At 46.0% G+C, this 25,352-nt stretch overlaps 1 long non-coding RNA gene across 1 annotated transcript, besides 2 other annotated features; it reads right to left on the bottom strand.

The window, feature by feature from the left end:
• Positions 1-9,680: 9,680 nt before the first annotated feature.
• LOC105379314 (uncharacterized) lies at positions 9,681-21,764 on the bottom strand. The gene is made up of 2 exons (NR_188141.1): positions 21,697-21,764; positions 9,681-12,366 (listed from the first exon to the last, which is right to left on the bottom strand). It is a non-coding gene; the product is annotated as an uncharacterized LOC105379314 (long non-coding RNA).
• Positions 16,740-17,263: an enhancer, noted in NCBI's record as "NANOG hESC enhancer chr8:20212340-20212863 (GRCh37/hg19 assembly coordinates)". NCBI's record gives its function as "activates a minimal SCP1, AML or CMV promoter by ChIP-STARR-seq in primed H9 embryonic stem cells {active_cell/tissue: H9 hESC(primed)}" and the evidence as "EXISTENCE:reporter gene assay evidence [ECO:0000049][PMID:30033119]".
• Positions 18,414-19,036: an enhancer, noted in NCBI's record as "OCT4-NANOG-H3K4me1 hESC enhancer chr8:20210567-20211189 (GRCh37/hg19 assembly coordinates)". NCBI's record gives its function as "activates a minimal SCP1, AML or CMV promoter by ChIP-STARR-seq in primed H9 embryonic stem cells {active_cell/tissue: H9 hESC(primed)}" and the evidence as "EXISTENCE:reporter gene assay evidence [ECO:0000049][PMID:30033119]".
• Positions 21,765-25,352: the final 3,588 nt, after the last annotated feature.

The raw sequence follows: 25,352 nt of genomic DNA, 5'->3' as shown, positions 1-25,352 counted from the left end.
TTGCTTCCTGAGCCATTTGGCACAGAATTTGTTTTGTGAAGTTGACTTTATTCTTTCTTTTCCCTCAACAAAAGAGAAAACTAAGAAGGATCTGAAAGAAACTCACATAGTGCTTAGCAATATCAAGGGTGTAGAGGAAGGCCCACTCTGCCAGTTTTTCTTGGATGCACCAAAATAAAAGTAAATAATCAGAGTTGTTGACAAGAATGTCTTAACTTGACCAGGAGTAGTGGCTCACGCCTGTAATCCCACTATTTTGGGAGGCTGAGGCAAGAGGATCACTTGAGGCCAGAATCTTGAGACCAGCCCTGGCAACATAGTGAGACTCCATCTCTACAAAAATAGAAAAATTAGCTGGGCATGGTAGTGCAAGCCTGTAGTCCCAACTACTCGGAAGACTGAGGTGGGAGGATCACTTGAGCCTGGCAGGTTGCGGCTGCAGTGAGCTATGACCACACCACTGCATTCCAGCCTGGTTGACTACAGAATGAGACCCTATCTCAAAAATATGTATATGTGTATATATATATATATATATATTTTAACTCTTTTGACTATGGATGGTGAGTGCCTGTGGGGCAGAAAATCAGACTCAGAGAAGGGAGATGAGACCACTGGATCACACTGTAAGGCAAGAAAGCCAGAGACAGAACAGAGGCACTACTGCTGCGTTTTGGGGACTGGCCTGGGACACCTGGGCCACACTGGGTCCCATGTGCCTGATGGGTCTCAAGTGACCTGGCTAGCACACTTCAGCTGGAATTCACAGGAGATGATGTTTTGTAAGATGATCCTGAGTCAGCCTCAGAAATAGCTATGGAAAAAGATGACTTTTCACCTTGATGTGAGTCTGATTGGAAAGAGCAAGGAACAATCATATCTGTTCTCTCTGCACTTCATCTATGGCCACCACTTTCCTGATGACCATCATGACCAGCCATTATGGAGGGTCCGTCTTCCCAGCCCCCTTACACTCCAGCCATTAGGTATCTCACTGTCTCATTTTAAATTGGAAGAAAGCAGGGCCCAGAGTGATGAGCTAAATTGCCCAATGTCCCACAGTGAGGAAGTTCAAGAACTAAACCAGGTGAGGCGCGGTGGCTCACACCTGTAAACACAGCACTTTGGGAGGCTGAGGCAGATGGATCACTTGAGCTCAGGAGTTCAAGACTAGCCTGGCCAACATGGTGAAACCCCATCTCTACTAAAATACAAAAATTATCCAGGTGTGGTGGCACATGCCTGTAATCCCAGCTACTCAGGAGGCTGAGGCAGGAGAATCACTTCAAGCTGGGAGGTGGAGGTTGCAGTGAGCGGAGATCATGCCACTGCACTCCAGCCTGAGCAACAGAGTGAGACTCTGTTTAAAAAAAAAAAAAAAAGGAACTAAACCAAAATGTATCTGCTTCCCAAACTCCCAGCCTTTTTCACCATGCTGGCACCATCTTCCATCTCCTGCCGGGGTCTTCTTCCAAAGCTGAGGGCGAGGGAGGGAAGGACTTTGCACAGAAGACCGCGCAAGGCACACAGGCCTGTTGTGAAAACTAACCCGGCTGGGAGCAAGGCCATCCTCATATAGCTGCTTGCCATTCACCTTGGATAGGATCTGCTTTGGTTCCACTTCCTCCCAAATGCTTTTCCACTAGAAAATTGAGAAATTGTATAATTGCAGTGAATAGAGATACAGAAAGGGCTACAGAAGCTTGGAGTTTCTATCTGAAGCCTTGTAAGATACTAATCATTTTCATCTGTCCTCCCAAATTAAAAGCAGCCAGACGACCGCTTCACATCAGGCTTTTCTACAAGGGAGCATAAGACATGGTCCCCACTGTAAAGGAGCTTAACCTCTAGTCACATAAATACACACAAAACTAACAATGCTGAGCTTTGCTGTACCAATTTAATACAACAAGAATGAGAAAAGAAAGATCCCAGCCTGGCGCGGTGGCTCACACCCATAATCCCAGCACTTAGGGAGGCCAAAGCAGAAGGATCACTTGAGGCCAGGAGTTCAGACCAGCTGGGCCAACATAGAAAAATCTCATCTTTAAAAATATATTTTATAAATAGCTGGGTGTAGCGGTGTGCACCTGTAATCCCAGCCATTCAGGAGGCTGAGGCAGGAGGATCACTTAAGCCCCAGAGTTAGAGGCTATAGTTTGCTATGATCATGCCCCTGCACTCCAGCCTGGGTGACAGAGCCAGAACTTGTCTCAAAAAAGAAGAAAGAAGGAAAGAAGAAAGGAAAGGAAAGGAAAGGAAGAAAAGAAGGAAGGAAGGAAGGAAGGAAGGAGAGAGAGAGAAAGAAAAAGTAAGAAGAAAGAGAAGGAAGGAAAGATAGAAAGATCCTTAAGGAGAAAGATTTTTTTTTTTTTTCAGATGGAGTCTCACCCTGTCACCCAGTAAGGAGAAAGAATATTTTACAAAACTTAGGGAATTTGAGCCAGATCTTGAAGGAAAATGTGTTTGGGCCAGAGAAGGAAAGGTGGTTCTGGCAGTGGCAACAGCATGGGCAAAGACTGGGTGGGAGGGATGAATGCCTTCTGCAGAGGGCAGTGAGGAGACAGACCACTCTGGGGACTGGGAGGCAGAGAACTGAATAGCCCCATAGTGAGCTGGAAAGCCAGAGGTCAGGGAAAGGGAGGCATCCGCTACCCCAGCCCCATCCATCCCAATTTCCAAAAGACAGAGGCACGTCCCTCTACCCACGCAAGACCCACAGACAGACGTATGCATGTGCGCCCCCTACTCTGTTTGCTCCTGTCAGAAACCAGCCTGCAAGATGATTGTGGATTCCAGAGGAGGGTGGGGAGGGCCAGGATAGCAGATTGCAGAGGCTCTAATTACATATCTTTGAGGTGGAAATTTAGTAAAACCACAGACTTGGAACAACATAAAAGTGCATAAAACAGCCTCATCCATTCATTATGCAAAGGAATTGCTCATTTATGGAGTTTGGATTACAGCAGAGAGCTTATAAAGCAGAAAAATGGTGCTTTATAGAATCCATAAGCAGCAACATGCTAGCTTCACAGAAGCACACCTGTTGGAGGCAGCCTAACCAAGGCAGCCAGTGGCACCCCTAACCAAGGGGTGGCCCCACAGTGCCACTGCCACCCCTACCTCCAGAAGTGATGAGAAAGGGCAAAGTTCAAGAGAAGCTTGGGGAGAGGACAACTGCCTGTCACAGTTCTGGGATCATAGGGAAAGGGGTCTGAAGAGCCATTTATGATGAGAAAAATTAACGTAAATATTGGGGTCATATTGGGGGCAAAGGACTTAGAAAACTATGATAAGGTCAAGCATGGTGGTTCCTGCCTATAATCCCAGCAGTTTGGGAGGCTAAGATGAGGGAATTGCTTGAGTCCAGGAGTTTAAGACATGCCTGGGCAACATAGCAAGACACCGTCTCTACAAAAAAATTAAAAGTTAGTCAGGCATCATGGTGCACACCTATAGTCCCAGCCACTCAGGAGGCTGAGGTGGGAGGATCGCTTGAGCCAGGAGATGGAGGCTGCAGTGAGTTGTGATTGTGACATGCACACCGGAGCCTGGGTAACAGAGGAAGACCCTATCTCAAAAAAAAAAAAAAAAAAGAAAAAAGAAAAGAAAAGAATAGAAAGAAAAAGAAAGAAAGAAATTATCTGAGACCAGCATCCCCTATTGAAGGTTGTGGGGGGAATCTGAATCTAATTTTGCCTTAATTTTCACATTTTATTACCTACTTTCCTTTTCCTTCATATTAAAATTTCTTTAGAGATGATTAAGTCCCTAAAAGAGCATTTCCCAAAGTGTGTCCTTATGAAACACTAGTTTACGAGGGGAAAACTGTTTGGTGGTCCAATACACTGAGGAAATTTCAAATTAAATATAACCTTCTCAGAATTTATAGTGAACATCATTAACATGGTACAGGCTCTGAGAGGTCTTGTGATAAAGAAACTTAAATTTGTTTAACTTGGTATTTCTAAAATTTAAGTAATAAAAAAGTCTAGGGTTTTGTTTTTATTTGAAAAACATCTACTATCATCCGGAGGAACAAGTGGTTTTCTCAAACAGGCTTTGTGAAATAATGATTTTTGTTTGGCTGTTTTTTCAGTTCCTGTCTCTGGAAGTAAATTTTGGAAACCCTCCAGTCATCCAAGACCTATTGCTTGATCCTTTTGTTTTCGTCCAGCATGTGGAGTTCTGTCCTAATCGCTTATATAGGGTTGTATTATTTACTCATAAGGAGACTTCATTACCAGGTTTCTAGGTGGAACCAGGGGACTCTGCAAACGCAGGCTTTCTGGGACTTGGAAAGTCATGTCCTGGTGCCCAGAGGGGGAAATGAATCAAGGTGCTCTGGTCAGTGGCACTCAGCCATACCTGGGTACCAAAGGGAAGACGCATGCGAGTGCCATGTTAAAAACAACAGTAGGGCTGGGCGGGATGGCTCACGCCTGTAATCCCAGCACTTTGGGAGGTCAAGGCCAGTGAATCACAAGTTGAGGAGATTGAGACCATCCTGGTTAACACGGTGAAATCCCATCTCTACTAAAAATACAAAAAATTAGCCGAGTATGGTGGCACAAGCCTGTAATCCCAGCTACCCAGGAGGCTGAGGCAGGAGAATCGCTTGAACCCGGGAGGCGGAGGCTGCAGTGAGCTGAGATTGAGCCACTACACACCAGCCTGGGTGACAGTGCGAGACTCCATCTCAAAAAAAAAAAAAAAACTAATGGTAAACCTGAAGACAGCCCCAAAGTCCATCAACAGACAACTGTATAAACTAACTGTGGTATATCCATACAATGGAATGCCACTTCTAAACTAAAACAGAATAAACTGTCAGTATAGCCACCACCAGGAATAAATTTCAAAATGACTATGCTGAGTAAAATACTCCAGACAACAGCAACAAAAAAGAATATAGATCATATGATTCATGTATATAAAACTCTGAGAATTGCAAACTAGACCAGGTACAGTGGCACACTGGGAGGCCCAGAAGGGAGGATCATTTGAGCTCAGGAGTTTAAGACCAGCCTACGCAACATAATGAGACCTCATTCAAAAGAGGTGTCTTGCTTTTGAGATGGTGTCTTGCTCTGTCGCCCAGGCTGGAGTGGAGTGGCACAATTTTGGCTCACTGCAACCTCCGCCTCCCGGGTTCAAGCAATTCTCGTGCCTCAGCCTCCTGGGTAGCTGGGATTACAGGCGTCTGCCACTACACCTGGCTAATTTTTGTATTTTTTTAGTAGAGACGGGGTTTCACCATGTCGGCCAAGCTGGTCTCGAGCTCCCGACCCCAAATGATCCCCCCGCCTTAACCTCCCAAAGTACTGGGATTACAGGTGTGACCCACCGCACCCAGCCAAAAAATTTGTTTTAATTAGCCAGGGGTGGTGGTGCGGACCTGTATTTCCAGCTACTAGAGGCTGAAGTGGCAGGGTTGCTCGAACCCAGGAGGTCGAGGCTGCTGTGAGCCGTGATCATGCTACTGCACTCCAGCCTGGGTGACAAAGTGAGACCCTGTCTCGACTAAAAACTAAAAATAAGAAAGCAAACTAAAGTAATCTGAAGTGACAGAAAGCACATCAGTGGTTGCCTGGGGATGGGATTATAGGGAGAGAAAGATTCTAAAGGGACACTAGGAAGTCTTTGGGGGTGGACGATGAAACTGTCTGGCATCTCACTTGTGATAGTTTTATAGTTGTATACATAAGTCAAAACTCAGTAGATGGTCCTTTAATGTTGTACTACCATTACATGGCATATTATGGGTACCATTTATTATCTATAAGCAATATCTCAAAAAAATGCCAAAAAATAAAATTGGAAATTTTTCTCTGAAAAAGAACGATGGGAAATTGTGCCTGGCTTCCCTCTCATTAATGATTTCTAAATCATCAGGCTTTGTAAGCAAATGAGTGAATGTGCTCAACTCCTTGATGGGCTCCATTTCTAGACATTGTCTTCTGTATCCTTTTCTCAACCACGTAGGCAGAGATAACTATTCATCTTTGTTTATTTTCTCATCAAAGGAAAGGACTTGAAAGAATTTCATCTGATTCCTAGAAATTGTAAGGATGCAGAAGAAAGAAGCTTTCCATTATTCCTTGGCTTTTCTTGGATCATGAAGTTCTGCCAAAGTTTGTGTGGTCTAGGAGACTAACAAAGCTGGATCTCTCTGTCCAAGCCTGGGCTCATCCTCACTGGCTGTATGTCCTTGACTTGGTCATTTCCTCTCTCTATGTCTTTGGAGAATCAGACACTTCAGAGATGTAATCATTTGTGGGGTTTTGTTTTGTTTGAGACTGGATCTGGCTATGTGGCCCAGCAGGCTGGTCTCAAATTCCTGGCCTCAAACAGTTCTCCTGCCTCAATCTCCTGAATAGCTGGGATTGCAGGTGTGAGCCACTGCACCTGGCTGTAAAAGATTTAAAGGATTAAAAGAACAGCTTTCTTTCTTTTCTTTCTTTTTGAGATGGAGTTTCACTCTTGTTGCCCAGGCTGGAGGGCAATGGCTCGATCTCGACTCACTGCAAACTCCGCCTCCTGGGTTCAAGCGATTCTCCTGCCTCAGCCTCCTGAGTAGCTGGGATTAGGCATGTGTCACCACGCCCGGCTAATTTTGTATTTTTAGTAAAGACAGGGTTTCACCATGTTGGCCAGGCTGGTCTTGAACTCCTGACCTCAGATGATCCGCCCACCTTAGCTTCCCAAAGTGCTGGGATTACAGGCATGAGCCAATGCGCCTGGCCAAGAGAACAGCTCTCTTTGAGAAAACTGAGGCAAGAAATGAGTTTCTTCATTCCTAAAATGAAAAGGTGGGCAAGTTCCTTCTTATTCTGACCTTTTATGATTCTTCAAATTTTTCTGTGCTGGTGAGAATGGCAAGTGAGCGCTCTAAATGAATACATACGAGTTTGAGAGAAGAGGAAAGATGGAGACAAAAAAGGGAGAATTGGCTATATTGAATGCTAAGAGCCTGGTTTTCTGTTGTTTTGTTTTTGTTTTTTGAGGCAGGCTCTTGCTCTGTCGCCCAAGCTGGAGTGCAGTAACGCAATCTTGCTCACTGCAACCTCCACCTCCCTGGTTCAAACAATTCTCCCACCTCAGCCTCCTCAGTAGCTGGGACTGCAGACATGCTCCACCATGACCAGCTAATTTTTGCTGCTTTTGGTAGAGACGGGGTTTCACCATGTTGGCCAGGCTGGTCTTGAACTCCTGACCTCAGGTGATCCGCCCACCTCAGCTTCCCAAAGTGCTGGGATTACAGGCGTGAGCCACCGCTGCTGGCTGAGTCTGGTCTTTGAAGTTAGTCAGCTTCATCACTGGATGAATCTCTGGCAAGTCCTCTGACTGAGCTAATTCACAGCTCTGAGTCTCATCTGCAAGCTGGGGTTCTTGGTAACTACCATAGTTACTCTCAGGAGTAAAGTTTTTTATTTGTAAAAATCTCCAGCACAGTGTCCAGCCTACAGAAGGTCCTGCCTTCTATACCCGCTTCTAGACCATATGGGCAGAGATAACTATTCATCTTTGTTTATTTTCTCATCGAAGGAAAGAACTTGAAAGAATCTCATCTGAAATTCAAAACATTAGTTCCTTCCTCTCCTTCCAGAGACAAATTGCTTATTAAACATTTTGCCCTATAAGTTCACTGACAAATACAGGGCGAAAGAACCCCAAATCCTCAGACCTGATTCCTCGGCAAAACCTAAGCCCTCTCCAAATGACAAGGCGCCCAGACCTCGATTGTTGCTTAACTGACCCACTTATCACCTCAGTCACTTATGACCGAGCCTCGGTGACCCACTGCCTCTGAGTGGCCTCACAAAGGAAGCAGGCCCTTCTCCCTCAGCCCTGAGGCTCTTCATTCCCTCCCACCTTTCCAGACTCAGGAAGTGCTGCTTCTGCCACTTCAACCTCTGTTTCCAACACCCCACCTCCTCTTCCACCTGACTTCCTTTCCTTCCTGTCCCTCTTTGCTTTTTAGGGGACAGGCAGGTCTAAAGCACCTTCAGAGATCAAGGTAGTGAAAGTAGGTGGATAATGTCAAATGAGGAGACAGGGCTTTCTGTGTCCCAGTAAGTTAAGAATAGCAGAGCTGGAAGACTTCTTAGGGTCTATATTAGTTTCCTGTGCCTGCCATACTAAAAACTGGGTGACTTAAAATAACAAGAATGTATTCTCTAACTGTTCTGGAGGCCAGCAGTCCAAAATCAAGGTATCAGGAGGGACTTGTTCCATCTGAAAGCTCTAGGAGACCATACCTTCTTGCCTCTTCCAGCTTCTGGTGGATGAGAGTCTTTGGTGTCCGTTGGCTATAGACCCATCACTCCAGTCTCTGCCTCTGTCATCACATGGCATTCTCCCTGTGGGTCTTTCTGTCTCTGAATTTCCGTGTGTCCTTTTCTTTTAAAGACACCAGTCACAGTGGATTATGACTCACTCCAATCCAATATGAACCCATCTTCACCCGATTACATCTGCAAGGACCCTATTTCCAAATACGAACACATTCTGAGGTTCTGGATGGACATGTATTTTGCCAGGACACCCTTTAACCCTTTACCCAGTGCAGACTCCTCCATGTTTAATTCACCTGAGGACAGTAAGCCCTATAGGTTAAGCTACTTAGCCGGGCATGGTGGCTCACACCTGTAATCCCAGCACTTTGGGAGGCCGGGGTGGGTGGATCGTTTGAAGTCAGTAGTTCGAGACCAGCCTGACCAACATGGCGAAACCTTGTCTCTACTGAAAATACAAAATTAGCTGGGCGTGGTGGCGTATGCCTGTAATCCCAGCTGGGGCAGGAGAATCACTTGAACCCAGGAGGCAGAGGTTGCAGTGAGCTGAGATCTCATCACTGCACTCCAGCCTGGGTGAGACATGGCGAGACTCAGTCTCAAAAAAAAAAAAAAAAAAAAAAGATTGAGTGACTTGGCCTTTATGTGCCCAATGAATGGCAGAGCTAACACTAGAGTTCAGGCTTTTCGCTCCCATATCCAAGGTGATTTTTAGAGCACCAATCAGTTTCTAAAGAGCACAAATTTGACAATAAACTCAGGGTTGGGGCAAAGCGATGATTTTTGTTTGGGAAGCTTCCTGTGCTGAACTAGGCTTATAATGGTATTAGCTACTGTTTACCAGGCTTTACAGGCATAATCTCTAATCTCCACAACAATTGTCACACCCAGAGAGCTTCCTACGGGGCAGCCATACTGCCTAGCACTTAAATGTATACAGTAGTCTCCCCTTATCTTCGGTTCCTTTTTTTTTTTTTTTTTTTTTTTTTTTGAGACAGAGTCTCACACTGTCTCCCAGGCTGGAGAGCAGTGGCGCGATCTTGGCTCACTGCAAGCTTCGGCTCCTGGATTCACGCCATTCTCCTGCCTCAGCCTCCTGAGTAGCTGGGACTACAGGCGCCCGCCACCACGCCCGGCTAATTTTTTTGTATTTTTAGTAGAGACAGGGTTTCACCATGTTAGCCAGGATGGTCTCGATCTCCTGACATCGTGATCCACCCACCTCGGCCTCCAAAAGTGCTGGGATTACAGGCATGAGCCACTGCACCCGACCTTCAGTTCCATTTTTTCCATTTCGGTTACTGCAAAAAAACATTTTGTTTTCCATGGTTTCAATGTAGTCAATCACTGTCTGAAAATACCAAGATATTTTGAGAGAGAGAATACATTCACATAACTTTTATTACCTTATATTATTATAAATTTTTTCTTATCAGTTGTTAATCTCTTACTGTGCCTAATTTATAAATTAAACTTTATTATAGCTACATATGTATAGGAAAAAAACATAGTGTATATAGGGTTCTATACTATTCAAGGTCTCAGGCATTCAATGGGGGTCTTGGAACATGCCCCCAAAGATAAAGGGCCACCTACTGTATTAACTTATTTAGTCCTCTGAATAAGCCAAGTTATGTCTGAACCCAAAGGGTGTGACCTTCCTCCAGCACCAACCTGCCTTAAATGAGAACTTAGAGTGAAAACGGCGCTTTAGGCAAACCCTCCCTGACTCCCTCTAACTGCCTATGAATAATTTAAAGCTAGGAGAACTTTGAAAATGTCCACCTAGGCCAAGAATGGGATAACCACAAAAGACAGTTGTCTATCCAGAAGCCAGCTGGCAGCCAATCAGCTGGGAACCTCCCTAAGCCAAATCTTTAGATGTGCCTACAGATTGAGACAAGGCATGGGCCATTAAGCCCATTCCAGCTGATTGCTGTGGTTTCTGGCCAGGGATGGCCAACAGATGTGCACCAGCAGCCTCCACGGGTCCGTGTACAGATATTGGGCAAATTTCCCCAGCATGATGCAACTCTGAGACAAGGAGGGACCCAGAGAGAGAGAGAGCAGCTCCAGCTACTCGTGTGAACAGCTCAGATTTTTAAGGCCTGCTGGTTGGAACCCCGCGGCACTGGCTCACCACTCATTACATGCTGGGGAACTGTGGGCAGTAATTAAGGATTACCCAATGGCATCAATTAGTGCCAACAAGAGGGCTCAGTTGGACGTGTTGACTCTCCAAGAGGGGATACAGAGGAGGGGAAGGCCATCTCTTACTGGGCATTTGCAGAGAAGAAACACTTGGGGAGGTCACAGGGAACAAAAAAAAAGCAGTGGAATGTCCTTTGCCTCTGCCACTCCCTTTGTAATGGTAGTTCTTATTTGAGACAAGGCACACGTGAGCAATTTGGAATCTGGACAGGATTTATTTTGAGGACACACCCTGTGTTTCTGGACCAGATTTTTTTTTTTAAACAGGGTCTTGCTCTGTCACCCAGGCTGGAGTGCAGCGCTGCTATCATAGCTCACTGTAGCCTGGGACTCCTGGACTCAAGCCATCCTCCTGCTTCAGATTCCCAAGTAGCTGGGACTATAGGTACGTGCCACCACTAATTTTTTTCAACAATTTTTATAGAGACAGGATCTCACTATGTTGCCCAGGCTGGTCTTGAACCCCTGGCATCAGGTGATACTCCTGCCTCAGTCTTCCCAAGTGCTGGGATTACAGGTGTGAGCCACCACACCCAGACTGGACCAGATTTTTAGAGGAGTCTGAACTCAGTGCCACTCTTGGCTGCTTTGCTCATTAAGAAAATGGATGTGCCCCTTTTCATTTGTAAGGATACTTAGGAAGTGGCAAAGAGCACCAACTCAGAGCCTTGAGACCTGTGGCCCCACGACAGCTCCATCATGGCCTTGCTACATGACTTTGGATAAACCAACAACCCAACCATGGAAACTGGAAAAGTCATCAAAAACTCCGACAGTGAATGACAGTCTTGGACCATTAAGTTTTTTGCAAATCTGGTCAAAGCAATGTATCCAAGGTCTCCCAGGAAAATGCCCATAGAAGCAATAATGTTCGCAGATGACCTCAGAAGCTTTTTGTGGCCCTCTACCAAGGCCACAGAAGCCAAGATTGAAAGCGCCTGCCCACAGGAGCCTGACAGCAGCTGCCCAGGGCTCAGCTAACACACCTTGAGAAAAAACATCTTAATGTCACCAAGACCATTATCAGCAGATTGAAAGTGAGAAAATGTGTTATTTGTTATATATATCATCATCATCATAAAACTAATACTGCACATAGTGTAAATATTTTTCACACAGTGTTTGAGGGTAATCTGCTCCCTCATCGCTGGCAGCACTTTCCTGATCATGTTCTAAACTGTAGCTTTTTCCTCCATATGTTCCCTTCTTCTTCCGTCTTTCAGAAATTCACCAGAATCTCTGGGCACAGAGGGCCACCCCTGCTGTTCTCAGCACAGTTACGAGTTGATTTCCTTTTTATATCTTTGCTGTCATGTCAGTGGGATTTAGGAGGCAAGGGAGGCAAACATGCAAACTCAGGCTTGAGCCAGAAGTTGCTAATTTCTTTTAGATTATGTAAAGGACTTGTCTTCTCCATCCCAGAAGGCTCGGATGGGAGGCACTGCCTAGGCTTGCTTTTGTAGGTCCATGTCTGACCATCTACCTCATTGCCCATCAGCAGCCCCTGAGCGCCAGCATCCATGCAAGGCACTATCCCAGCCATTGTGGCCCGGCGAAGAAGTAGGAGCAGGACTGGTCTCAGTTGATGCAGCTTCAGCAAGAATGTCATGACTCACAGGGTACCATTCCCAGAAATCTGCATGTCCCTCCTGTGGCCAGGGGACTGGTGCACTCACCTGAGAGGCTGCACTGTCTCTGTTCTTTGGATAGGTGTAAGCGCTCATTTTATGTTCAGGTATGTGGGTTTGGACCCAAGAGGCAGCACAGCACAGAGGTCAAGAAAGTAGACTCCAGGACACTTACCAGCTGTGTGACTTCGAACAAATTCCCTCAGCTTTCTGTGCCTCAGGGTCACCAACTGTAAAACAGAGACAATAATACTCACGTATGGTTGCATATGATATGTGTAGAACATTGGCTAGTAAGCACAATAAGTGCTCAATAAATGAGAGTTATTTGAGAATGGGGATAACGGGGTGTTACAGACTTAACGCTTGTGTCCCCCTAGAATTCATATGTTGAAGCTCTTAACCCCCAGTGTGATGGTATTTGGAGGTGGGACTTTGGGAAGTAATTAGGTTTAGTTGAAGCCATTGGGGTGGGGCTGCCATAATAGGATTAGTCCCCTTGTAAGAAGAGGAAGAGAGACCAAAGCTCACTTTCTCTCCATCACGCAAGGACACAGTAAGAAGGCAGCTATCTGCAAGCCAGGAAGAACCAAATCTGTGGGCATCTTGATCTTGGACTTCCCAGTCTTTAGAACTGTGAGCAATAAACGTCTGTTGTTTAAGCCACCTAATCTGTGGTATTTTGTTATAGCAGCCCACATTGACGATATAAGGTGGGGTATATTAGTCAGAGTTCTCGACAGAAACAGAACCAACAGGATATGTGTATTACATGTTTAGAGAGAGAGAGATTTATTTTAAGGAATTGGCTCCCATAATTGTGTTGGCTGGAAAGTCTGAATTTTGCAGAGCAGGCTGGCAGGCTGGAGACCCAGGGAAGAGTTAAGGTTGCAGGTCAATTCCAAAAGCGGTCTCCAGGAGGAATTCTCTCTTTCTTGGGAGACCTCAGTCTGTTTTACCTTAAGGCTTTCAACTGATCTGATGAGGCCCACCACCCTGTGGACAGTAATCTGTTTTACTCAAAGTCTGCTGTTTTAAATGTTAATGTCATCTAAAAATTACACTCACAGAAGCATCTAGTCTGTTGTTTCACCAATTATCTAGGGACCATGGCATAGCTAAGTTGAGACCTAAGATCAGCCATCACAGCGGGTGACCAAAGGTTCACAGGGCATATCGGGTATACCTCCATGGCAGGCTTGACCTCATTTTAACTTAATTACCTACTTAAAGGCCCAATCTCCAAATACAGTCACATTCTGAGATACTAGGGATTTGAACATTTAGATTTGGAAGAGACACAATTCAGCCCCAAACAGGGACCCGTTGGTCTCAAGGGTCTTTCCATATACTTAAAGTGCCACAGGAGCCAGCACTGTCTCTGGAGCCAGGGCCCCTGTGTCTAGGTCTGCCAAAGGTAACTGAAGAGGGCTGCACAGGCCTGTGTCATTAGCACACACAGAACAGCACAGATTGTCGAAGCCAGATGGCAGACACCTGCTCTGAGGGCAAGTGCAGACCTGGAGCAAGTGTGTCCTGGATGGCATCCAGCAGGCTTCCCTGAAGGCCCATCCCATCCTAATCATTATGCTTTCCACTTGGAGCTTCGCCTGCACTTTCTTCTTTGGTTCTTATGGCCACCCGTGGAGAAGGCTGGAGGAGGATCACCATGCCCATTTCACAGAGGCCTGATGAAAGCTAGAGGCAACACAACAAATGAGGATGGAGTCTGGACTAGAACTTAGCTTTTTTGACCCCTGCTTCAGGGCACTTTTCCACTACACCAAGCTTTCCTCAAAGCCCACACACTGGGTCACACTGTGGTGTCCCCTTTGGCAAGACGACCAAAGGAATAAAGAAGTAGGATATTATGATCTCAAGAAGTCAGCTTAGCCATCTGAGCCTTGGTTTGTTGATATGCAAAATGCAAGGAGGCCAGAGGTTTCTAAATGATGGAAACCTCATCTCTTCCCTCCTAATATATCCCTGACCCAGCCTGTCATGTAGAAAGCATTCAGCAAATGCTTGTTGGACTGAATGGGTAATACAGGGCTGCATTAGTCTGCTTGGGATGCCATAAAAAAGCATTTGACTGGGTGCCTTCAACAACAGAATGGACGCTCTCACAATTCTGGAGGCTGGAAGTCCAAGATTGAGGTGTTAGCAGGATTGGTTTCTTCTGAGGTCTCTCCCTCCTTGGCTTATAGATGGCCGTCTTCTCCCTTTGCCTTCCCATAGTCTTCCCTCTGGTGTGTATCCTTACCCTAATCTCCGCTTCTTAGAAGGGCATCAGGCATCTTGAATTAGGGCCTGCCCTGCTGATCACATTTTAACTTAATTACCTACTTAAAGGTCCAGTATCCAAATACAGTCACATTCTGAGGTACTAGGAATTAAAACACATAGATTTGAAAGGGACACAATTCAACCCCAAACAGGGACCCACTGGTATCAAGGATCTTTCCAGCTCTGACATTTGATTTCTCTGATGGTGAATAAGGAAATTTGGCTAGGCCTTTCTCCCTGCAATGAACAGTTCCTGGTGAGAATGAGCCGACTGGAGCACTGCAGATACAGATTGGTGTCAGTCTCCAGACATGGCTGGATTGGGCCTGGATGGTGTGACTGGGTAGAGCATCCATGCAGTGGAACAATCCTCAGTGATAGCTTTGGTTTTGTGTCCCCACCCAAATCTCATGTTAAATTGCAATCCCCAATGTTGGAGGAGGGGCCTGATAGGAGGTGACTAGGTCATGGGGGTGGATTTCTCCCTTGCTGTTCTCATTATAGTGAGTTCTCATGAGATCTGGTTGTTTAAAAGTGAGTAGCACCTCCCCCTTCTCTCTCTCTTCCTCCTTCTCTGGCCATGTAAAAGGTGCCTGCTTCACCTTCACCTTCCACCACGATTGTAAGTTTCCTGAGGCCTTCCCAGCCATGTGGATCTGTGAGTCAATTAAACCTCTTTTCTTTATAAATTACCCAGTCCCAGGTAGTTCTTTATACCAATGCAAGAATAGACTAATACACTCAGCAATCACAAGGAATGAACTACGCATGCACACCACAATTTGGATGGATCTCAAAGGGATGTGCTGTTCTTTGCCAGTAGCAATCACAGTAAGGATGATACAGACACAAATTTAACGGACATGAAATTTTTTACCAATTAAATGGATACATTGTTTACTTTCACTTTTTATTATAAATAGAAAATTGTTTTCTAAAACTAAAATATTTGAACTATCAAAGTAATATACTGAGTGAGGGAAGCTGACCAAAAAAAACCTACATACCCTATAATTCTATTTCTTTTTTTGTTTTGCTTTGTTTTTGTTTGTTTCTTTGTTTGTTTTTAGAGATAGGGTCTTACTCTGTCATCCAGGCTGGACTGCAATGGCACAATCATAGCTCACTGCAGCCTTAAATTCCTAGGCTCCAGCAATCCTCCTGCCTCAGCCTCCCAAGTAGCTAGGACTATAGGTGTGCACCACCATGCCCAGTTAATGTTTTATTTATTTTTGTAGAGATCAGGTCTCTCTATGTTGCCCAAGCTGGTCTTGAATTCCTAGCCTCAAGGAATCCTTCCACCTTGGCCTCCCAAAGTGCTGGGATTACAGGCATGAATCACCATGCCAGGCATGTATGATTTCCTATATGTACATCCTAGAAACTGCCAACCAATCTAGAGAGACAGAAAGCAGGTGGGTGGTCACCTGGGGAGGAGGATGTAGGAGGGATGGGCAGAGGGTCACCAAACTGAATGACGAAGCTTTGGCGGTGATGGACATGGTCACAGTTGTGATTGTGGTGATGGTTTCACAGGTGTATGCATGTGTCAAAACATATGGAGGAACACACTTTAAACATGTTAATTACACCTAAATATGTTAATTACACCTGACACTTTTCAAAAGAAGACATTTATGCAGCCAACAAACATATGGGAAAAAAAGCTCATCATCATCACTGGTTTTCAGAGAAATGCAAATCAAAACCACAATGAGATACCATCACGCCAGTTAGAATGGTGATCATTAAAAAGTCAGGAAACAACAGATGCCGGAGAGAATGGGGAGAAATAGGAACGTTTTCACACTGTTGGTGGGAATGTAAATTAATTCAACCATTGTGGAAGACAGTGTGGTGATTCCTCAAGGATCTAGAACCAGAAATACCATCTGATCTCACAATCCCATTACTGGGTATATACCCAAAGAATTATAAATCATTCTACTATAAAGACACATGCACACGTATGTTTATTGCAGCAGTATTCACAATAGCAAAGACTTAGAACCAACCCAAATGCCCATCAATAACAGACTGGATAAAGAAAATGTGGCACATATACACCATGGAATACTATGCAGCCGTAAAGAATGAGTTCATGTCCTTTGCAGGGACAAGAATGAGTTCATGTCCTTTGCAGGGACATGGACGAAGCTGGAAACCATCATTCTCAGCAAACTAACACAGGAACAGAAAACCAAACACCGCATGTTCTCACTCATAAGTGGGAGTTGTACAATGAGAACATATGAGCGCAGGGAGGGGAACATCATACACTGCGGCCTGTCAGGCAATGGGTGGCAAGGGGTGGGATAGCATTAGGAGAAATACCAAATGTAGATGACAGGTTGATGGGTGCAGCAAACCACCATGGCACACGTATACCTATTTAACAAACCTGCATGTTCTGCACATGTATCCCAGAATTCAAGTATAATTAAAAAAAAAAAGAAATGAAAATCATCACACACACACACACACACACACACACACACACACACACACAAAAGAACGTCTGGAGGAAGGGCAATTAATTTATCAGGTGACAAGTCTTACAACTCAAGGCCTGCTGAGAGGAATGCCAGACAGATAAGAAACAATTTGCCAGGAGATCACTGAGAGGTTCCTGACACCCAGGAGGCCCAGGTGCCTGAGGAGGGGCAGCAAGCAGGCAGAGTAGATGAAGTCTACACACAGAGCACCTGTGACCCATGTTCCTCCCTGCCCCATCCGCAGGGGTGCCTGCTCCTCCAAGATTAGACTAAGGACAAAATAACCCAGCCTGAAGTCCCCAGGGACTGGACTCAGGTGTCTGGACTGAGGAAAATCCCTCTGGTACCCACTGTCCTTTCCTCTATGACACTCAACCAGCTGAGTACGGCCCCTAAACCAGCTCATCCGCTTCAAATATGGGCTCCAGCTATGACCAAAAGAAAGTGTCTTAACATGCGTGCTGTGAGTCCTCCGCAAAGTAGGGACAGTAATACGAATAGCTCCTGGCTACAGGACTTCAGTGACATCCACTTAGAGCACTGCCTGGCACCTTGGAAGGATCTGTAGCTGCTGGCACTTCCATCTTAAGAGATCTATACAGAGGAGACGACTTTTACATTTGTTTTTCTTTTCATTCCTGTTGAACTGCATGTTCTCTGGTAGGTCTTCGGACCATGGGGTTTCTTTGTGTCTGTCCTCAGGATATACTCCCAGCTTCTGAATTTAAATCTATGTTCCATGCAGTCTCCTGAATTCCATGGAAATGCCATCTCAACGAACTGGTCACAAATCTTCCAGGAAACTGAATTTCTCTCTTCCCTTCACTCCCCTTACCACTATCCCTGCCAACATGTTCTTCCCATGAACATCGCTCCAACCCACAGCTCCAGCACCATATCCCACTGAGGGTAGGATTCCCATCCCCAGGCCCCTGTGGAGAGGGCAGGGCAGCTGGCTCTGCTGGGTGCACTTCTCAGTTTCTTTTCATCAGCATATCTGATGTCCAATTGTATTTTGAGTACTTCACTTTCATGCAGTTAATTATTTAGTTTTAACCTACAAGATTTGCAGGAAGATCTTTGTTTTCATGAAACCAACTATCATCTGCAAATTAAAAACAGTTGCTGTCAAGTACTCAGATCTGAATGTGTGTGCAGGATGTTACCTGTTACATTCAACAGGGTGTGATGGTTGGTCAAGAGGGTTAGCGATTGCCTTTCACGAAACTGTAAACACCACCCCCTCTGTCTAGCAAATGGCCCAGCTCTAGCTTGTGTGGCCAGTGGGTGGGGACAGGAGAGAGGAAAAGGAAAAGGAGGAGGTGATGCCCCGTGATGGGTCCCCAGCAAACTTTTCCCTCGGCCCTCACCCCACCCCATCCCAAAGCTCTTCCTCATGATGACACAGGATTATTTATTTTGGGAAAATGTGACAGGGAGGGGCTGAACGGTGTGAGGTGGGTAAGATGCTTGCATCGTACTGCCTGGGTTTGAATCCTGGTTCTGCTCCACAGTAGCGACTGACCTTCAGTAAGACACTTATTGACTTCCCTGGGCGTCAGTTTTCTCATCTGTAAAATGGTGCCATGAATAGTACCTGTCTCATAAAATTGTTATAAAGTGTATGTGGGATAAATTATCTAGTCCAAAATTTTAAATTTAGGGACCAGTTGGAGAGTCTAAGCAGACAAAGAGAGAGAGAGATCACTTACCCAAGGGCAAAGGGCTAATTGTAGCTTGGGGACTAAATCCAAATCTCCAGGCTCCCAGTTCAAAACACGTCCCCCCACCAGAGCATGAATGGTCCTAAGCACACTCTATTAAAATGCAAATGTTCCCCAGGAGGTTTAACTCCAAGTTATTAGCACCTTAATGTGAGGGATGTGAATTGGGTTAACATGCTTCTTTTTTCTTTTAATTGAACTCGATCTGGTTCAAAAGGAGTACAGAAGGGGAGTGGGAGGGGGGAAATTGAGCCCATGATTTTGGCAGGGCTCTAATACTGCATCTTGCATCAGGAAAAAAGCATCCCTTTGCCCACTATCAGGGAACAAGGTGGAGATTCAGGCTCCAGGATCAGGCACACAATGAAAAGCACTGCTCCCAAATATTTGGCATCTGAGAAAGAAACTGGGATCCAAAACTGGAGTTTTAGGTGGGCCTGGGTGTTGCCCATGCAGAAGGAGAAGCCTGTGTGCCCAAGCAGAAGGAGACAGAGAGCACTCCAGAGTCCCCAGCAGCTGTCCTGGAAATGAGATGGCAAGGGCAAGACAAGGCGTGAATTCTCCACTCAATCACTCACTCACTCACTCATTCAGCCACATATCGTGATTGTCAGAGGCGTGTAAACCAGAGCAACTCCATCTTAAGTAGGGGCTGGGTAAAATGAGTCTGAGACCTACTGGGCTGCATTCCCAGACACTTAAGGCATTCTAAGTCCCAGGATGAGATAGGAGGTCAGCACAAGATGCAGGTCACAAAGACCTTGCTGATAAAACAGTTTGCAGTAAAGAAGCTGGTCAAATCCCACCAAAAACAAGATGGAGATGAGAGTGACCTCTGGTCATCCTCACTGCCACACCACCACCAGCACCACGACAGTTTACGAATGCCATGGCAACATCAGGAAGTTACCCTATATGCTTTAAAAGGGGGAGGCATGAATAATCCACCCCTTGTTTAGCATGTAATCAAGAAGTAACTACAAAAATGAGCAACCAGCAGCCCTCGGTGCTGCTCTCTCTATGGAGTAGCCATTCTTATATTCCTCCACTTTTTTAATAAACTTAATAAAAGGATCGGGACCCCTTTCCTGTAACAAAAGCATCTGCTCTATGCCAGAAACGAATGGCGGTCTCAGACCTCAGGGAATGGACGCTCTCACATTCCTTAAGCACCGGCAGTCTTGTGAGCTGCTAATGGTGGAAGTGATGTCTAATCCAAGCATTGAAGCCTCAACCCAACAACCAAGATGTAGCCCAAAAAATCCAGTGGCAATCCTGTGGTCCCCTCCTTCAAGGAAGGTGAGGCTACAGTTAAGTCGCTGAAGTTCCTCAGCTTCCCCACTACTTTGAGAGAAAATACAAATACTAGGTTGTTTTTTGTTTTTCTTCTTAATCTTCTAAGTTTAGACCTGCTTCTCTGAGATCCTTACGTAGGGAACAGTGGACTAGAGAAAATACAAGAAGGGAAATATCTTGTCAAAGAGGGGATGCCTTCTTTTCATTATTCAACTCATATTTGCAAGGACTAACTATGACTTTAAAATAATATCTCATTTGATCCTCACGAATTCTATGAAGGATAAAGATTACAAAAGGTGTGTTTGTTACCCAAGGCCTACATAAGGGGCAGAACGGGGAATTGAAGCCAGCTTAAGCTGATCCCAAAGCACAGGCTCTTCCTGTGTGTGGCTTCACACTGCCTCTCCATGGCGCCCCTCAGTCCCCTATGCATTTGTTCCTTCACCTCCTCGCTACTCAAATGCATTCTCTACACAATTTGCCCTGCCCTACAGTAGTGGTCCCCAATCATCTTGTAGAGTTAACAAATCACCCAGCATCCCTACCAAATCATCTCTGTTTAAGAAAAAATTCCTCAAACCAGCCAAGCGCGGTGGCTCACGCCTGTAATCCCAGCACTTTGGGAAGCCGAGGCGGGCGGATCACCTAAGGTAGGGAGTTTGAGACCAGCCTGACCAACATGGAGAAACCCGGTCTCTACTCAAAATACAAAATTAGATGGAGGTGGTGGCGCATGCCTGTAATCCCAGTTACTCGGGAGGCTGAGGCAGGAGAGTCGCTTGAACCTGGGAGGCGGAGATTGCAATGAGCCGAGATCGTGCCATTGCACTCCAGCCTGGGCAACAAGAGTGAAACTCCGTCAAAAAAAAAAAAAAAAAAAAGAAAAGAAAATTCCTAAAACCAAAAGTCACCACGAACTCTGTGATGCTTTACAATTAATTCACATTTTAATAATCACAACAGTATCCATGCACATTTGAGAAATAGCCTCATGGGGAATCATGATATATTCACCCTGTCTAAAATGCTTCCTGTGCCCAGGCATTAGAAAATTCCCTAGAAATAATTCACCACGAAGTCCCCAGAGGTTGGAACTGGCTAAAGATTCTTTCCATCCCATAATCTGTCTACCTACTGGACCAGGGAGATCGGGTAGTTGGAAAGTAGTGTGCATCTTTCTTCTTTCTTGTGTATTCCCAGCTAGCATCCCCCCTCCAGCATGGTCAGTGCTGCCCTACCCTCTCCTGGCCTGGGGGAGCTCATAGAAGGCCCAAATTTGTTCTGACCGTATCTTCTTTTGGTAACAGTAAACAACTCAACAGCAAAAACATTTTATAGTACCTGACAGTCTACACTGCAGATTTACCAATATTTATTCATTTCATGCTCAAATAGACCGCATGGAAGTGGGTGGTAAGCCCGCCATTTTTGTCAACAAACAGGCTGGGTGAGGCTGAAGCAGCTCGCCTAAGGTTGCTCAGCTAGTGAGTGGGAGAACAAGATCTCAAACCCCAGGTGTGAGTGTGACTCCTTCTCTTTCTACACCCTCTAGCTTCCTCTCCCCAGCCACTCCCTCTCGCCCTCTCGCGCTCTCGCGCTCTCGCCCTCTGGCCCTCTGGCCCTCTCTCCCTCTCGCCCTCTCGCCCTCTCCCTCTCTCCCTTTCTCCCTTCAATTCCCTCGTAGCTGTGGCCATGGGAGCTTCCATGCTGTCCCGGAATAGGCACCCTGCTTGGGAGCACAGGCAGAGCTGCTTACCTTCACGGCTCACACGTGGCTTCACTCTCCAGCCCTTTTGATGTCTGAGGCTCCACGCCAGCGTAAAACGACAATCCTATTGGATTGATGGGGGCTGTTCCGCTCTTCATTCCTGCCCCAAGCACCTTTGGGAGGCACAGAACTGCCTTTGTGTGGTGGGAATGACTGCCTCAGAGAGCAAAGCCTGCTGGGACGAGAGCAGCTGCCAAGCTCGCTCTGGCCAGTTAAGCCTGAGCCGTGGCTCTCAGAACTTTTGCTCTGCAGTGCTCCCGGCCGAAGCCTTGGACCGCAGCACACAGAGGCTGGGAAGTGCTGACTTCATTCTCTCTGAGCCATTGTCTTCCCCTTCGGGGCTCCCCTTCCAAATGCCCCCCCTCACTCATAGCTGAAATGCCACCTGTGGTGTCCAGGGGCTCAGCATCCCGGGGCAGCGTAGACACTTTAAGAATGTACTGATGCATAAAGTCCCATCTCTGCAGCAAAGACTCCCCAAGAATGCTCCAACTCTCATCACAGTCTTCTCTAAACTCCCACTGTGGTTTGGCATCTCGTTTTTCTCTTCGTGTCTTTAAACAGGACTGTAAGTTCCTAGAGAGCAGAAATCATATCTTGTTTTTAAATTTCTTCACGGTCTCATGAAAGGCCAAGTGTATATATTTAATTGAGGGATCGGTTTGCATAAGGCCATTTTCCTATACACTCATTCACCCTAAACTCTCTGATGGGTTCTTCTATGTACAGGCAAAATGAAGCTGTAACTCCAGGGAGATGCCCCTGCCTCCCAGGACCCTTCCCCACCCCACAAAGATCTCAGCAGCAGAGATGGCTGCCGGGCTTTGACAATTATTCTGGGTGCCTTCCAAGCTCCCTAGGTTAATCACCAAACAAACAGCTGCCTAATAAAGAGGTGTCTGTCCTCTAGTACCCAAGATGACTGAGGTTAGGACAAAATTCACACCTTGAGGCCCAAAGCCTGTGGCCCATCTGGTCTTTCTCCCTCCCTCTTCTATACTGAATAGTTTCGGGCAGGAGGTGGCCAGCTGGGCAGAGACCTCTGGAGATCCCTCCCCCTAGACTCACTGGAGTGAGAACCCGTGCCCCCCCACAAATCAAGGGCTGACGAGGGCCATCTGTGCCTGAACTCTGAGAATTGAGCAGGCAGTGCCTCAGGCCTCCAGGGGCCTCCAAGCTGTAAGGAAATTCTGCCAAGCCCCCAGCTCCTCCCTGAGAGCCTCTGACACTAAATATAACCAGCAATTTCCCTGCCTTTCCCCACTGCCTGAACCAGATTTCCTACCACTCACCCTGAGGAAAGGCAATTGCATTAGTGAAGCAAAGAAACTTCTGGCTGCTGGTTCTACAGCTCCTAGAAGCAGGCAGGCAATATGGATGGGGACAGAGGAGAGATGTAAAGGAAAGGTAAGCAGCAGAAACCAGGAATTTATAGGTAAACCCACTGACCTCATAAGTCCATCTGTAAAATATGTGCAGAAAAACCAACTTTAGGGTCATTGTGAAGAATATAAGAGATAACATCTATTTTTAAAATACTGCCTTGATAACTGTTAGTTTAACCTGTCCTTTACAGTACACTTTAAATCTGAGGATTTGTTAAGAGTTCTCTATTTTCCTATAGACCCCAGATGTTGTTTTTTGTTTTTTTTTTTTTTTCTGAGACAGGGTCTCACTCTGTCACCCAGGCTGGAGTGCAGCGGCATGATCCCAGCTCACTGAAGCCTCCACCTCCCTGGGTTCAAGCTATCCTCCCACCTCAGCCTTCTGAGTAGCTGGGACTACAGGTGCATGCCACCACACCTGGATAATTTTTTTGTATTTTGTAGTGGCGGAGTTTCACCATGTTGCTCAGGCTGGTCTTAAATTCCTTGGTTCAAGTGTTCCACTCATCTCAGCCTCCCAAGGTGCTAGGATTACAGATGTGAGCCATCATGCCCGGCCCAGGCTTCTTATCTACCCCAATCTAAGAGGAAGGCCTGCAGGTGAATAGAATGGATGCATCTTCCTTTGGTTTGGGATCTCCTTGGGAGGTAAAGTTGCTTCCCCTGGCTCTGTCCATAGATAAATAGGTTATGCTCATCCTTACCTTGATGTCTGCCCTCCTGCTGAAATGATCTTCCTTCCACCTGTCCAGTGTACCCATTCATGAAGTCCCTTCTCTGCAGGGAAGACTCTCCCCAAGAGTAGACCATCCCACATTGATACTCCCCTTCTCCATGCTCCCCTGTGACCCAGCATCTCATTTAAATAATCTTGTCTTTTAACAGGACTGTAAGTTCTTGGAGGGCAGAAATCATACCTTCTTTATTTTTAAGTCTCCTTGTGGTCTAGTGAAAGAACTAGTGTGATATGGTTAGGCACTGTATCCCCACCCAAATCTCAACTGAAATTGTTATCCCCACATGTCGAGGGAGGGACCTGGTGGGAGGTGGTTGTATCATAGTGGGGGTTTCCCCCATGCTGTTCTCATGAAAGAGTTCTCACGAGATCTGGTTGTTTGATAAGTGTCTGGCACTTCCCCCTTCTTGCTGTCTCTCCTGCCACCATATGAGATGTGCCTTGCTTCCCCTTCTCCTTGCACCATGATTGTAAGTTTCCTGAGGCCACCCCAGCCACGTGGAACTGTGAGGCAATTAAACCTCTTTTCTTTATAAATCATACAGTCTCAGGTAGTTCTTGATAGCAGTTTGAAAACAGACTAATATAAACTGCATGCATTAATTGAAGGTCTCAGTTTGCATAAGCCATTTTCCTGTACTGTCATGCACCCTAAACTCTCTTGTCATGGGTTCTTCTATATATAGGCAAAATGAAGCTGTAAATCCAGGGAGATGGGCACAAAGGAGAACTTGTTCACTTGCCTGAAGATCTGAGGCTTTCTATGTTCATTCATTTATTCATTTTTTAATTCCTTAAGAAGACAAGAGTTCCTATACCTGCCAAGCATAATTCACGTGGAAGGAACTCTGGCCAGAGGTGGGCAAGTACCTGGGAGGCACCATCAGACCTCAAGATAGAACCAACAAATCCTGTGAAGTCATTTATATCCACAATGTGTGCTACAAGCTTTTCATGCATTAATAATTCTAAGAGCTTTACCTATTTACACGTAAAATCCTTATAACTGTCTTTTGAAGTGGGAACTCTGATGACTTCCAATTTATTGATAATGCAACTGAGGCACAGAGATGTCAAGTCGTTTGTCCAGGGTCTCATGCTAGGGAGTTAGAGTCAGGAAGCCAGGCATTCTGGCTCAGAACCTGTGTGCTTAAGCATCCCACTGAAATGCTTCTCAGTGGGGTGAATGGAGGGACACTCAGGAAGGGGAGGACATCATTGAGAAACTGCAAAGCCCGAGTGGGCTGGGGGCAATTGGAGGGTGCCAGCACCTTGGTCAGAGCCACTGAAGATGCCTGGGTCCTGCTCTGCCTCTAGCCCCTGTGAGCCCTCTCCTTAAAAGGACATCCTGAGCCTCTCCAGGGAGCGGCCCTTGGGGCTCAACTGACACAGGTTTCTTAGGGGCAACCCGGCAGGCCCATCTGCCTGAGATTAACCAGACCCTGGACACAGGAGTTCATGATTTCTCGAAAACCCACCCTTTGTATTTCTAATGCAGTTCTTATAACATCCTAAAAGACCGC

This window comes from Homo sapiens, chromosome 8 (genome assembly GCF_000001405.40).
Source record: "Homo sapiens chromosome 8, GRCh38.p14 Primary Assembly".
Lineage (NCBI taxonomy): Eukaryota > Metazoa > Chordata > Mammalia > Primates > Hominidae > Homo > Homo sapiens.
This window is presented reverse-complemented; position numbering and strand designations above follow the sequence as displayed.